This window comes from Homo sapiens, chromosome 5, assembly GCF_000001405.40.
Source record: "Homo sapiens chromosome 5, GRCh38.p14 Primary Assembly".
Taxonomy (NCBI): Eukaryota; Metazoa; Chordata; class Mammalia; order Primates; family Hominidae; genus Homo; species Homo sapiens.
Genome location: NC_000005.10, coordinates 126466921 through 126480127, shown reverse-complemented (window position 1 = coordinate 126480127; position 13207 = coordinate 126466921). Strand labels below are relative to the sequence as shown.

Genomic DNA, 13207 nt, shown 5'->3' with positions numbered 1-13207 from the left:
GGTGACATTCACTAGATCCCCTTTAAAATCTCTCTCCCTCTGTTTTTGTTTTTAAGGGTATTTAACAATTCCCGAGGGTCCGCCTTCTCTGCTCTGACCTAGATTTCCACTGAAAACTTCCCAGTGGCTCTAATAGGCTAGCTCTCTTTCTTGCCACTTCCAGATTCTTCCTTGTACAAATATGGAGATTTTCTAGTGGAGACTTATAAGTGAGCCATGGGAAAGGAGTAAAATCAAAGCTAGACAAATCATGTGAAGACAAATGACATGAGGAAAAATGATTTTACCATAAACAATATGTTCAGAAAATATAAAAATTTACTTTTTTTCCATCTATTTATGCCATAGAATGTTTTCAGACCTCCTTTCCATGAGTTTGTGATTATCCTTCTCATTCACCAATGAGGGAACTTGAATTATTTCCGAGCAAGTACTATATTCCAAAGTAATTAATATTGTGGGTTCTGGCATCAGGCAGATCCAGTTGCAAATTCTGGCTCTTACACTTACTAAGTGGGTGACATTGGGAAAATTGCTTAACCCCTCTAACTTTCAGTTTTCTTAATAACAGTTATCCATTACAGGGTGGTAGCAAGAAAATATAAAAAAAGCATTAGTGCATGGCCTGACAAGGAGGAAATACTGATGCCTGTTGGCTATTAGTATTTCTAAAAAATCCCCAAATAGATATTAACATATTTTCTAGCTTATCAGAATGGTCTCTTTTATCTTTCCTTCTTTCTTCTCCTCTCTACAAGTTTTCTAGTATGGTTAGAAAGGAAATCTATAGCCAGTCATGGTGGTTCATGCCTGTCATCCCAGCACTTTGGGAGGCTGAGGTAAGAGGATCACTTGAGCCCAGGAATTTGAGACCAGCTCTTGGCAACATAGCAAGACCCCATCTCTATTGAAAAAAGAAAAAATAAAAAAGGAAAAAGGAGAAATGAAATCTATAGAATGTAGAGTTTATGCTTTCATAGAAATAATTCATGAAAGATTAAAAAAATTCATGTGAAAAGTAACCAGACCACTCCACTCCCTCTTTCTTGCCAAGCTGAAATAGACACCACTTTAATGTAAATTTTTCTGATTGTGCATGTCTGTGGTAGCCCAATAGTCAATTCAGCTCTGGAATTTCTATATAGAAGGTAGTTTAGGCAAGCTGTTAGTAAAGCAGGTCTAAAAACTGATCCTGTACCTGCAGTTGCAGAGCAGGTGCAAGTTTTATTTATCTGGAATGGCTCTAGGGAGGTATTGATTGAGGTTATGGGGAGGCTGGCCACCCCCACACCAGGAACTCCTCACTATCAACCTGCCTGCCTCACCCTGTCAGTAAGGTGGTGGTTTTGTTGTTCTTGTTCTTTATATATATTTATTACTTTTTTGAGACAGGGTCTCGCTTTGTCACCCAGGCTGGAGTGCAGTGGTGCTCGATCTCAGCTCACTGCAACCTCTGTCTCCCAGGCTCAAGCAATCCTCCCACCTCAGCCTCCCCAGTAGCTGAGACCACAGGTGTGTGCCACCAAACCCGGCTAATTTTTGTATTTTTTGAAGACAGAGGGTTTCACCATGTTGCGCAGGTTAGTCTTGAACTCCTGGACTCAAGCGATCTGCCCATTTGGGCCTCCCAAAGTGCTGGGATTACAGGTGTGAGCCCCCATGCCTGGCCTTGTCCTTTTTCTTTTTCTTTGAGACAGGGTCTTTCTCTGTTGCCCAGGCTGGAGTGCAGTGGCACAATCATGGCTCACTGCAGCCTTTACCTCCTGGGCTCAAGTGATTCTCCTACCTCAGCTTCCCAAGTAGCTGGGATCACAGGCACATACCACCACACCTGGCTAATTTTTATATTTTTTGTAGAGACGGGGTTTCACCATGTTGCCCAGGCTGGTTCCCAACTCCTGGGCTCAAGCAATTCTCCCACCTCAGCCCTCAGCCTCCCAAAGTGCTGGAATTAAAGGCCTGACCTCCTTTTTTTTTTTTTTTTTTTCCCTTTAAGACTATTATTAAAGGAACTGAATGTATCAGTTTAGCCTGACCTAGCAGAAGTTGAGAAAGAATTTTATTTTTTTGACCTTGGTCAGGCAAGTATAATTAAGTCAGCAGGAAATTCAAAATTGGCAACACTTCTATGAGAATAAATCACTTTGTGAAGGGAAACAGCACTACATGAATGTCTACAGGCTATAATTTTTAAAATTAGTCTTATGGAATTTTCCTGATTCACCACAGGAGATGATATTTATGGTTTGGAGTCTTGGTCCTTGGCAAGAGACCCCTTAGGCAGCAGAGCCCAGAGCAGGAGGACAAAGCAAAGATGCCCTCGCTCGGCTGCATACTCACCCTGTCTGTGACTGTTGCTATGATCAGGGCGTTTGGCACTAGAAGAGCAGTTTTGGTTTTCTTTATTAGGGTTACCGAGAAAGCTGGAATAGAGATCTGAAACAGAATCAGCAAGTTAATGCCAGTTCAGACTTGACAGAACAGCACTTCAAATCTTCACATTTAAGGAAAAAAGAAAAAAAAGGTAAACAGAAATCAAAACCAGCAGCAAGCTCTCCAGCCTCCATGAAAAAAAGCCAGTCTTACAGAGTGGCAGGGATGTATCACTGAGCTCCTCAAAGTGGGGCTTACTAAGCCAGAGGATAAATCTTAATCATCAATTGGACTGAAGATCTTGGTGGGAAACGTTTATCTTCAGACATGGAAATAGAATGCAAAATATGTATTCATTTTAAAGATAAGCACAAGGCTCTAAAGAAATTTCAAGCTTGTGGTCATCCACTTTGGGCTAACTTCCACATGCCCTACTCTCCTCTGTCTCTAGGTGCATGTTAAAAAGCACTGGTATAATAGGACCATCACTGGATAGAAAATCTGGGACCTGAATTCTTGGCTCAGTTCTGTTACTACAGGTTGAGCATCCTTAATCTGAAAATCATAAATCCAAACTATTCCAAAATCTAAAAGTTTTTGAATGCTGATATTGATGGTCAAAGGAAATGCTCATTGGAGCATTTCAGATTTTGGATTTTTGGATTAGGAATGCTCAGCCAGTTATATGTTGGCAGATATTGCAAAAATCTGAAATCCAAAACACTTCTGGTCCCAAGCATTTTGGATAGGGGATTCTCAACCTGTATCTACATGACCTACTCCCCCTTGTAAGCTATCCGTTCTAGGCCTCAGTTTTTTGATTTATAAATTGGAGATAGCCTCGTCTGCTTCTCAGGATTTTCTGTGGATTAAGTGAGATAATATATGCAAAATGCCCAGTGTTGAATAAAAATTTCATTCGCCTCCTCACTTGTTTCATGAAATCAGGATGGGTGACATAAAAGAATTCTAAATACTTTTCTGGTTCAACAAAGAATAACAACAACAGTAACTATAGAAGCTACCATTATTGATACCTATTTACCAGATAGAATTTAATTTAATTATGATCATACATAGTCAATATTATGAGAAATAAAGAAATTTATTTAGAGAGGTGCATGTCCTACATAAGAAGTTACAAAGATGGAATTCAAGCCAATCTGATTCCAAATGTGGGTTCTTTTCAATACAATGTGCTATAAGAATGTATCAAATGGCACAAAGAACAGAGAAGTTCATGATAATTTATGTTATACCTCTCCAACCAAGTTTGATCTCAAAGGAAAATGGATCACATCACTTCAATCCCTGAAAATAGAGTCACGCACAGCCATGGTAAAATGATCTGACTTCCCCCTTCCCTAGGAACTCACACTCACTTGAACATCTACTTCTTGAAAATGCCTCACATATTCTCAAAGAGATGGGCTTTATGTAAGTACTGCCAGCTTGAAGGAAGCAAATGAGCTTTTTTTTTTGAGACAGAGTTTTGCTCTTGTTGCCCAGGCTGGAGTGCAATGGTGCAATCTTGGCTCACGGCAACCTCCTTCTCCCAGGTTCAAGTGATTCTCCTGCCTCAGCCTCCTGAGTAGCTGGGATTACAGGCATGCGCCACCACACCCAGCTAATTTTTTTCTTTTTTTGAGATGGAGTTTCGTTCTTGTTGCCTGGGCTGGAGTGCAGTGGCACGATCTCGGCTCACCGCAACCTCCACCCACTGGGTTCAAGTGATTCTCCTGCCTCAGCCTCCCTAGTAGCTGGGATTACAGGCATGTACCACCATGCCTGGCTGATTTTGTATTTTAAGTAGAGAAGGGGTTTCTCTATGTTGTTCGGGCTGGTCTCAAACTCCTGACCTCAGGTAATCCGCCTGCCTCGGCCTCCCAAAGTGCTGAGATTACAGGTGTGAACCACTGCGCCCGGCCACATCCAGCTAATTTTGTATTTTTAGTAGAGATGAGATTTCTCCATGTTGGTCAGGCTGGTCTTGAACGCCCGACCTCAGGTGATCCGCCCGCCTTGGCCTCCCAAAGTGCTGGATTACAGGCGTGAGCCACTGTGCCTGGCCACAAAATGAGCTTTTAATTTTGAATATTTGCATTCACATCTGGGTTTATGAGATGGGCTTATTTATTGCCCTCAATGATCTAGGCTGGAAGACTATGGAAGAACAAGGGGCTAAACCAATCAAGACATTTTCTAAAAACTGTTTGCCAAAGAACTCTACTCACAACATTTTTCAAAGGGAGGAGGCAATTCAGAACTTACAAGTTGGGATAAATTTGGAAAAAAAGAATTTGAGATCTACTTAGATGATGATTTTTAAAAAATGAGTCTAATTTTGTTTCTGAGCAACAATACAAACATGCAGTGACAAAGGGCTAGAAATTTAGATTTTTCATAATCTAAGGCATGGAACACCCTTAAGAAGGAGTTTTCAAGCAATTGCTTCATGAGTATAAAATTACAACCAGATAACATTTGTAAAATAAAGCTTAAATCACTTTTCAGTTTGAGCTTAGACAGAATGTGATACATGCATGTTAATTTTACTGGCATCTGAAAATACCGACAGGCTGACTAAAAAGGTCCGGATTAAATTAAGGCTATACTTTATTAATATTTTTCCAGGGTAATGGTAACATTTTTCCAGGGTAAACTGCTTTAGAAGGGGAACTTGATTGGAAAGTTCCCGTTGTAGAGCAATTGTTTGGGTGCCTTCAGCTCATATTGGACCATGTTGGACTGAGGTCCATTGGCAGTGAGGAAATTCTGCAACATCTCTGAAGCCCAAATCTCCTTTGACACCATCCTTAGAAGGGATGGAACATACAAGTCACTATCATGGTTCTTATTCCCATGGCCTGCTAATTTTCAGTCTCCTGCTTCTGTAGGTTACACGTTGTAAAAGCAATCTCAGTATATCCATGTCTTCAAAAAACCAGGGTCACTCCTTCTAACTTCTTTTTATCAGTTCTTAGGTAGAAGTAGAACTTTAAAACCATTGCTAGAGTCAGATTAGCTTGAAAGTGCACTGACTGCCTTTGTGAATCCCCCATCCCTTAACAAAGACTAATACTTTGTTCATTAGTATCTTCAGTCCCTGCTGCTCTGCTCAGAGATGTTGGCTCTCTATGAATTCCTGAGAACTATATCACATTGATCAGTACTACCCAATCCCCTTCCCCATTCCATGAACAAGACCTTTAATCCAGAAATGTAGAAATATATGAAATACTGCTTCATATTGCTTTGTATTATACTGATTCAGATAATACTGTCGATCAAATAATGCTTAGCTAAACATAGCTCTATATGATAAAAAATCAATAAAAAAGAATATGTTTTACCTAAAGAATAGTATGTTAGCCTCTAGCTCCAACACCAACAAAAGAAAATATTCCTATTAGATTTGTTAAGTGGTCTTTATGCAATTGCCAGTGGTTTTAGAGAGAATATTTAAATAAGGCACATCTACTACTCAAAAAGAAGTTTTAATCAGCGACTTCATGAGTATGAAAGTTGCTTCTTCATAATCATGAATCAGAATGACTGAAAACTCACTAAGGTCATGCAAACCCAAGAAGGTGTTTCTCTGGTGTTATTCTGGAGGCCTGAATGAACTGTGATGTGACATCATAGCTCAAAGGTAAAAAAATGTCAGTGGGATAGAATTATCTTTTCTTTGATAGGCCATAGTCCCACGGTCCCCAGTTTAGAGGGCAGTGCCAATTCCTTTAGGCTGTTCTCCTTAATGCCTCAGGATGTCATGTGTCTCTGCTCCCCCAAATCTATATTTAATAATAATGAAAAGATGTAATATCAGAGTACACTTGGGATTGAGGATGTCTGACTTACCCAGGCTAGGCCTTAACTGCTCCACCTCCTGCTCATTTTGTGCTGGTGAGGGTACAAAGGGAGTGCTAATAAGTAGCTTATTTATAGGCCTGCTGTCCTACGCATCACTGGTAACTGGTATAAATATGGTATAAAAATTGATGTTTCTTAAAAGAAATGATTTTGGTTTAAATGTATGTCTTTGAAAATCATGGCACACCCTCCATATAAACAACTTTGAGTGCTCTCTGGTGACATCTGAGTAAAAAGGATTTAGGGTATGGTTATGGGTGAGGTACATGTGTATATATGAGGTATATGTGTATAAACAAATGAGTGAGAAAATAATGTTTAGGGAAAAAGGGAAGTTAGTGTCTTCTGGAGGCATTTAGAATGCATAGTATTTGGAATTACAACAAAAGAAACTTGACATAAAAGAATAACCATGATACAAATATCTACAAATATAGCTAAATTTAAGATGATTAATATTTACCATATATAATAAAGTATAGGGTTAGCATTTTTTTTTTTAATTATACCAACCTTTGTGTCTTTTCCAAAGACTTTGGAATGAAAACAAATCCAGTTTTCTGATACAAAGAGCTTTCCTTGGTATAGTATTTCTTTCTGTAGAGCACAGGTAAAGCCTGGGAAAATATACACAGGCACAGCATCATTTAGAATTTCCACTTAAAATAAAAACCGTGTATATATTTTGGTGACTCAAGGATGGGCAGAGATAATACATTCACACTCAAAAGTTTTATTACCTCTTCTTCTGTCATCTTTATGGAAAGAAAGCTGTGGCAACCAGTTTGCTTTTAAGTTCAAAGTCTTACCAACTTCAGTATAAATATCAGAATGAAAAGGCAAATCTACCATTGTACCTGAGAGACCAAGAATGGGGTCTTACAAGTCTCCTCTATTTAGCCTGGTGTGTCACCATGTGCTGATATTAGTACACCTGTTCCCCTTTTCCCCAGTATTTTCAGGAATGACTGTTTTCAAAATACATGGCCTCACTAGGGGAAGAGCACATAACCCACACCTCCTGTTTGAAGGTCATGGCAGGAACCCAGCATCTTGCCTCAACTTTTGCACATCAAGAGAGGCTAGAATGGAACTTTGGGCCCCTTGATGAACCACTGCAGAGTCTAGTAGGCGTGCTTAACTAGCATGCTGGGCAAGATATTTAGGTGACTATCTTACCCTTCATAGTGGCATCAGCACATGTCTGTCCATGTCTAAGGATGTGAGTTTTCTTTTAGCCTTCTTCTAGTGGCCTCTCTTGCCCCAGGCTTGTTATCCTAAATCTTAAAGCAATGTAACCATGTGCATTTCAGCAATAAATAAAGAAGGGAAGGGCATCACGGAACCATCTTGGGTGACTCCATACCCCATGGAGAACTGTTTCTTTTTCTCCTCTGTGATCTTTTCACGCTGCCTGGTGAAAGCTGACTGAAGCTGGTGTTATTGTTATGTTATTACTTTCAGAAACCTGATCCCCTTGGTGACTCAGTCCATGGACTATGCCCTTTTTCTTCCCCAAAACTAATGATCAACTTTTCAAATATGTAGCTTAAAAAGTCAAACAGGTCAGAACTTACTTTGCTTCAGTGGTTCCTCCGTTGGGACACTAAGAAACAACTTGTGAAAGTGCATATTGGCCTTGTACTACAATGAGAACAAAATACAAGCATCACCATTCTCACTTTCTTGTGAAACATCACAAATTCAACTTCAACAACAAATTTTCCCTCCCTTAATAGTATCTTTAGGAATTCCTTCTCACTGATCTTACAGTCTCTGACACAAGCCTTCAGTAAAACACAGTGAAAGTCTGGGCACACAGTTTCATTTTCTAACAAGTTTAATGCTTTGCTGGTTGGATATAATGATGCAGCTGCTGGTCAGCCTACTGCCGAGGTAACAGGGCTGGACAAGGATGTCCCTGATGAGAAATGGGATGAAATTCTAAGGAATCTCATTAGGGAAGATACTGGATCCCAGGTACTAAAGGTACCAGTGAGTACTCTCAGAAGAGTACAGTGGTTCAAAGCTTTGTAGTCAGGTAAACCTGAGTTGAAGTCTTGGCTGTAGTGGCTCTAGCTCTTGTTGTGTGACCATGGCTTAGTCACTTAATCTCCCTGGGCCTTGGTTTCCTCTTCTGTACCAGAGGGCAAAAACAGTGCCAGCCTCAAGGGATGCCATGAGGCTTAAATGGGATAATACATGTAAAGGACCTATAGTCTAAGGCAACATATGGCCACTCTTCCTACTGTATTATTGTGAAGGCATTTCCTTAGCCAGTGACAGGAGTAGGATGCAGTAGTAGGCTACTGACAAGACAAGTAGGATTTCATACAAAGACTTCACTCTCCAGGGCAGCAGAAGGCCCAAGACCATGAAAGCTGTAAATCACTTCATCCTCAAGGGATCTGTTTTCACAACTGTGACAATAACAATGGATAGCCAGCAATTTACAGCTTGTAAAACACTTTCACCTGCATCATATAGCTATTAAGAGTAGAACTGTTAGCTGGATGTGGTGGCATGTGCCTGTAGTCCTAGCTACTCGGGAGGCTGAGGCAGGAGGATCTCTTGAGCCCAGGAGTTCAAGCCTGAAGCGAACTATGGGGTAGAACTCGATCCTCCCTCCACAGGATCAATCTGCCTCACGGGATGCTTCTGAAGAAAAATTCTTATAAGGAGAATGGGTAGGAGGCCCTGGATGGCTTTATTATCCAAACCAAGAGTGGTCTCAATGGCAAAACTGGCCCTGTTTTGCCATAAAGAACTACAGACCAGGTCATCAAGATGATAGATGGTCCCTGCAAGTCAACTATTTTACAGATAAACTCCTTATAGAAAGATACCTTGATTAAAGCTAGGTGTTCTATGGCTTCACTGAGCTTTTGTTTTCAATGGCTACAGTGAGCAGTGGTTGCACGCTTGATTTAAAATATGCTAGGCCATAAACGCTTCAAAAATGTCAACGTAATAAATGGCAAAAAAGGTAGTGGGGCTGCTTTCAATTAAAAGGGACATAGCAGGCTGAGTGCGGTGGCTCATGCTCGTAATCACAGCATTTTTGGGATGCAGAGGTGGGTGGATCGCCTGAGGCCAGGAGTTTGAGATGAGCCTGGCTAACACGGCAACACCCTGTCTGTATTAAAAATACAAAAATTAGCTGGGTGTGGTGGTGCACATCTGTAATCCCAGCTACTCAGATGGTTGAGTCATGAGACTCACTTAAACCCGGGAGGTGGAGGTTGCAGTGAGCCAAGATTGTGGCACTGCACTCCAGCCTGGGCAACAGAGCAAGACTCTGCCTTGAAAAAAAAGAGAAAAGACATAGCAATTACATGCAGTATGTGACTCTTGATTGGATCCTGAAGAGGAAAAAAACACCTTTATAAAGGATATTTATTACTGGGACTACTATGGAAATTCAAAAGTGAATTTTGTATTAATAATATTTTAATACATTTCATATTTAAATTTCTTGGGTGTGCCGATGGTTTTTGGTTTAGCTCTTAGGAAACACATATTCAAGTATTTAGAGGGGTGAAGAATTAAGAAAAACCCCAAACTCCTGTCCCCAGCACATGCATCACACTCTCTGATGACATAGAACTAGGCTTTGTTTCCTATCTGGGTATATTTTAAAGCAGAACCAAAATTAGTTCTGGAGAAGAATCCTGACCCTGTTCAAAGGTCTAACTCCTCTGTGTGCAGTTGGCTGGCCTACTACTATTCAGGCAGGTGCCTTATCAGACTCTTCAATTTCAGTACAAGGATGTCACAACTCCCCTTGTCCTGCCAATTATTGGATAAGCACATGACTTTGTGTTGGTCCCTGATCTCTGGGTATCTGTCAGAGTTCGAGGCCACAGCATGGAACTCACTACCATGCAATGTGCTGAAAAATGAGTTGTGGAATATAACGTTGCTGAAAAATGGACTGGAGGAACTGCTGCCTGTTTGTTCTTCTAAATTCTCTAAACTCTATACCTATATTAGTCTTGACCAGCAGGAAGGTGCATACTTGGGTTCCTTCTTGTCACTGGCTTCAGTAGCCCTGTCACCCTCTAAGACAATACAAATTCCATTCTCAAATTACCTGGCTGGAAGATGAAGACTTTTTTCTTTCAGTCTTAGGGTCATTTTTGCTTTCTGTTTTACAGTCGTTCTTATCACTTGCTAAAGAGGCACCATCAAAACTGGATTTTGACCTAAAGAAAGAAAGTCCAGGGTGTCTATAAGATAATTTTTTTTTGAGACAGTTTTGCTCTGTTGCCCAGGCTGAAGTGCAGCAGCATGATCACGGTTCACTGCAACCTCCCCGTCCAGGACTCAAGCGATCCTCCCACCTCAGCCTCCTGAGTAGCTGGGACTACAGGTGTGTGCCACCATGCCCAGCTCATTTTTTTGTAGAGATGGGGTTTCACCACGTTGCCCAGACTGGTCTTGAACTCCCGGACTTAAGCAATCTACCTGCCTCGGCTTTCCAAAGTGCTGGGATTACAGGCATGAGTCACCACACCTGGCCTATGAGATACATTTTTCATTAATTTATTGTAATAAATCTTGATTATTATACTATCTTCTAAGAAAACCTGACATTTGTTTTTCTTTTCTGGATATCAAAAATCATTCATGATACTCTGAGAATATTTACACAGCACATGCTTTAGGACACTGCAATGATTTCATCAGGCTGTAATCAAAAACTGTAGAAATAGTAACTTACAGAGGGTGAAATAACAATCAAGTTGTGAAAATAATTACATCATTTTAAAACGAAACTATTTTAATCAGTATTTAAAAAGGAGTACTTGAGGCAAATTACTAAATAATATTGCAGCTATAGTTCAATCAAAGAATATTTTTGTTTCAGAATTCCACTAATATATAACAAGTATTAATTGAGTAGGGCATTGTATTAAATGTCTTGGGGCCCATAACACAGTTTGTATCCTTAAGGCGCCTGTGTATGCATGCATCAAACACTTTTTTAAAAAGGCAGTACATGATTTAGCACCAAAAAAAATACATATTATAGGAGTTAGGAGAAGGTATGGAGCCAATAAGTCTAACAGGAGGTAAGAGAAGAGGAAAACAGGCCGGGCACAGTGGCTCATGCCTGTAATCACAGCACTTTGGGAGGTCAAGGTGGGCGGACCACCTGAGGTCAGGAGTTTGAGACCGGCCTGGCCAACATAGCGAAATCCCATCTCTATTAAAAATACAAAAATTAGCTGGGCATGATGGTGGGCGCCTGTAGTCCCAGCTACTCGGGAGGCTGAGGCAGAAGAATCGCTTGAACCCGGGAGGCAGAGGTTGCAGTGAGCTGATATTGCACCATTGCACTCCAGCCTGGGGGACAGAGCAATATTCTGTCTCAAAAAAATAAAGTTAAATTAAAAAAAGTAAATAAATAGAAGAGGAAAACAGTAGAATAATGTGGGCTTAAAATGCTGGGCCTAACAGGATAAGCAAGAATTGGGTATGAGGAAAAGAGACAAAACATCCCAGAGTGGGAATACAATAAAAGTGAAATCAGAATAAAAAAAATGAAACCACAAAACATGTTTGAAGCCAAGTCTTCCTTTTTCCTGTTAAGCACAGAGGTCAGAGCTCCAGAGTTTCCTTCTAAGATGATTCTAGTCCTGGTTTTCCATTTTAGTGGATGTGTACATTTGTACGTAACTTCAACCCTACGGCTAAACGCAGTCATTTCAAAGTAGAATGCATAGATGATTTTTGGAGTTATATATATGAATAAGTTTTATGATTATGAAGTTGCTTTAATGTTTATTGGGAGGAAACGACACACAAAATCCATGATTTCACAATATTATTCCTTAAAATGAGGTTCAGTTAAAAAAAATTGGTTCAAAGTGGATTTAAGAACAATCTGAAGTAATTCAGGTGGTACATGGGTGTCACAGAGAAACAGAAAGGACTGAAGTTAGAGAATTATGCTCTGGTTTTCTCAGCTGTGAAAAGATGGACTATATGATGTCCTAGGCCTCTTCTAGCCACTACAGTGTATGATTCCACAATGCTGAAATCACAGGGCAAATACCCCTCAGCAGTTCAAGGTAAATGAGTTTAATTTCAGATACAGGCCATTGAAGCTATTCACAGACATAAATTCCCTGGGAATTCTAGGGATTACATTTTTTTGGAAGCTATGAAAAAACATTTGTTCTCTATTTGAAAATAAAATTATCTGTACAAATGTCAACTTGCCTTTTATTTATATTATTCACAGATTTGAATTCATCACCTCTACTGATTCCCATTAATAAATGTTAATGGAATGGGCAAGGAAATGATCCGACCTTTTGAAGATCCATGGACTGCAAGCAAATATGACGAGTAGGGTGGCTCTACCCTTGATAATTTCAAAAGGCACAAGCAATAAGGGGGTTCATCTGCATGACACTGGCCCCTGTGGACAGGGTATGTATGTATACAATATGGATTTCTTTGGGTCTTTTCAACCCTGTTATTCTCACTTCCTACAGGTGACAAGAAGCCCAGTGCAAAATGAAAATGTGGGGTCCTTTATATAAAAATTATTAATTAATTAATAAAAACAAGTAAAAATTATTAATTAATAATTTTTATATAGAGACAAAGTCTCACTCTGTTGCTGAGGCTGGAGTGGCACAATCTCGGCTTACTGCAACCTCCACTTTCTGGGTTCAAGCGATTCTTCTGCCTCAGCCTCCTGAGTGCATGCACTACCACACCCGGCTAATTTTTTATTTTTAGTAGAGATGGGGTTTCACCATGTTAGCCAGGCTGGTCTCGAACTCCTGACCTCAAGTTATCCACCCACCTCAGTCTCTCAAAGTGCTAGGATTACAGGTGTGAGCCACCGTGCCTGGCCCCCTTACATAAAAATTATTAAGCATTTCTGGATAGCAAGAGGGGAACATTAAACCAAGTGTGGGCCCTTTCCAACTGCAGGAACCGC

The 13207-nt window shown here is 40.3% G+C and overlaps 1 protein-coding gene across 26 annotated transcripts in view; it reads right to left on the bottom strand.

Annotated features, from left to right (window-relative positions):
- Positions 1-13207, bottom strand: part of GRAMD2B (GRAM domain containing 2B) — a 134245-nt gene that overhangs the window by 14237 nt on the left and 106801 nt on the right. For 23 of the 26 annotated variants that reach the window (NR_146195.2, NR_146196.2, XM_017009781.2 and 20 more), the window contains 4 exons: positions 10340-10451; positions 7824-7890; positions 6760-6863; positions 2341-2436 (listed from right to left, as the gene is read on the bottom strand). Coding sequence is in view for 23 of the 26 variants with exons in the window: in XM_017009781.2 (XP_016865270.1) it covers positions 2341-2436; positions 6760-6863; positions 7824-7890; positions 10340-10451 (379 nt within the window). In the remaining 3 variants the exon portion in view is untranslated. The remainder of the gene's footprint in view (positions 1-2340; positions 2437-6759; positions 6864-7823; positions 7891-10339; positions 10452-13207) is intronic. The other 3 variants (NR_146197.2, NM_001349543.2, NM_001146320.3) reach the window with 1 other exon arrangement.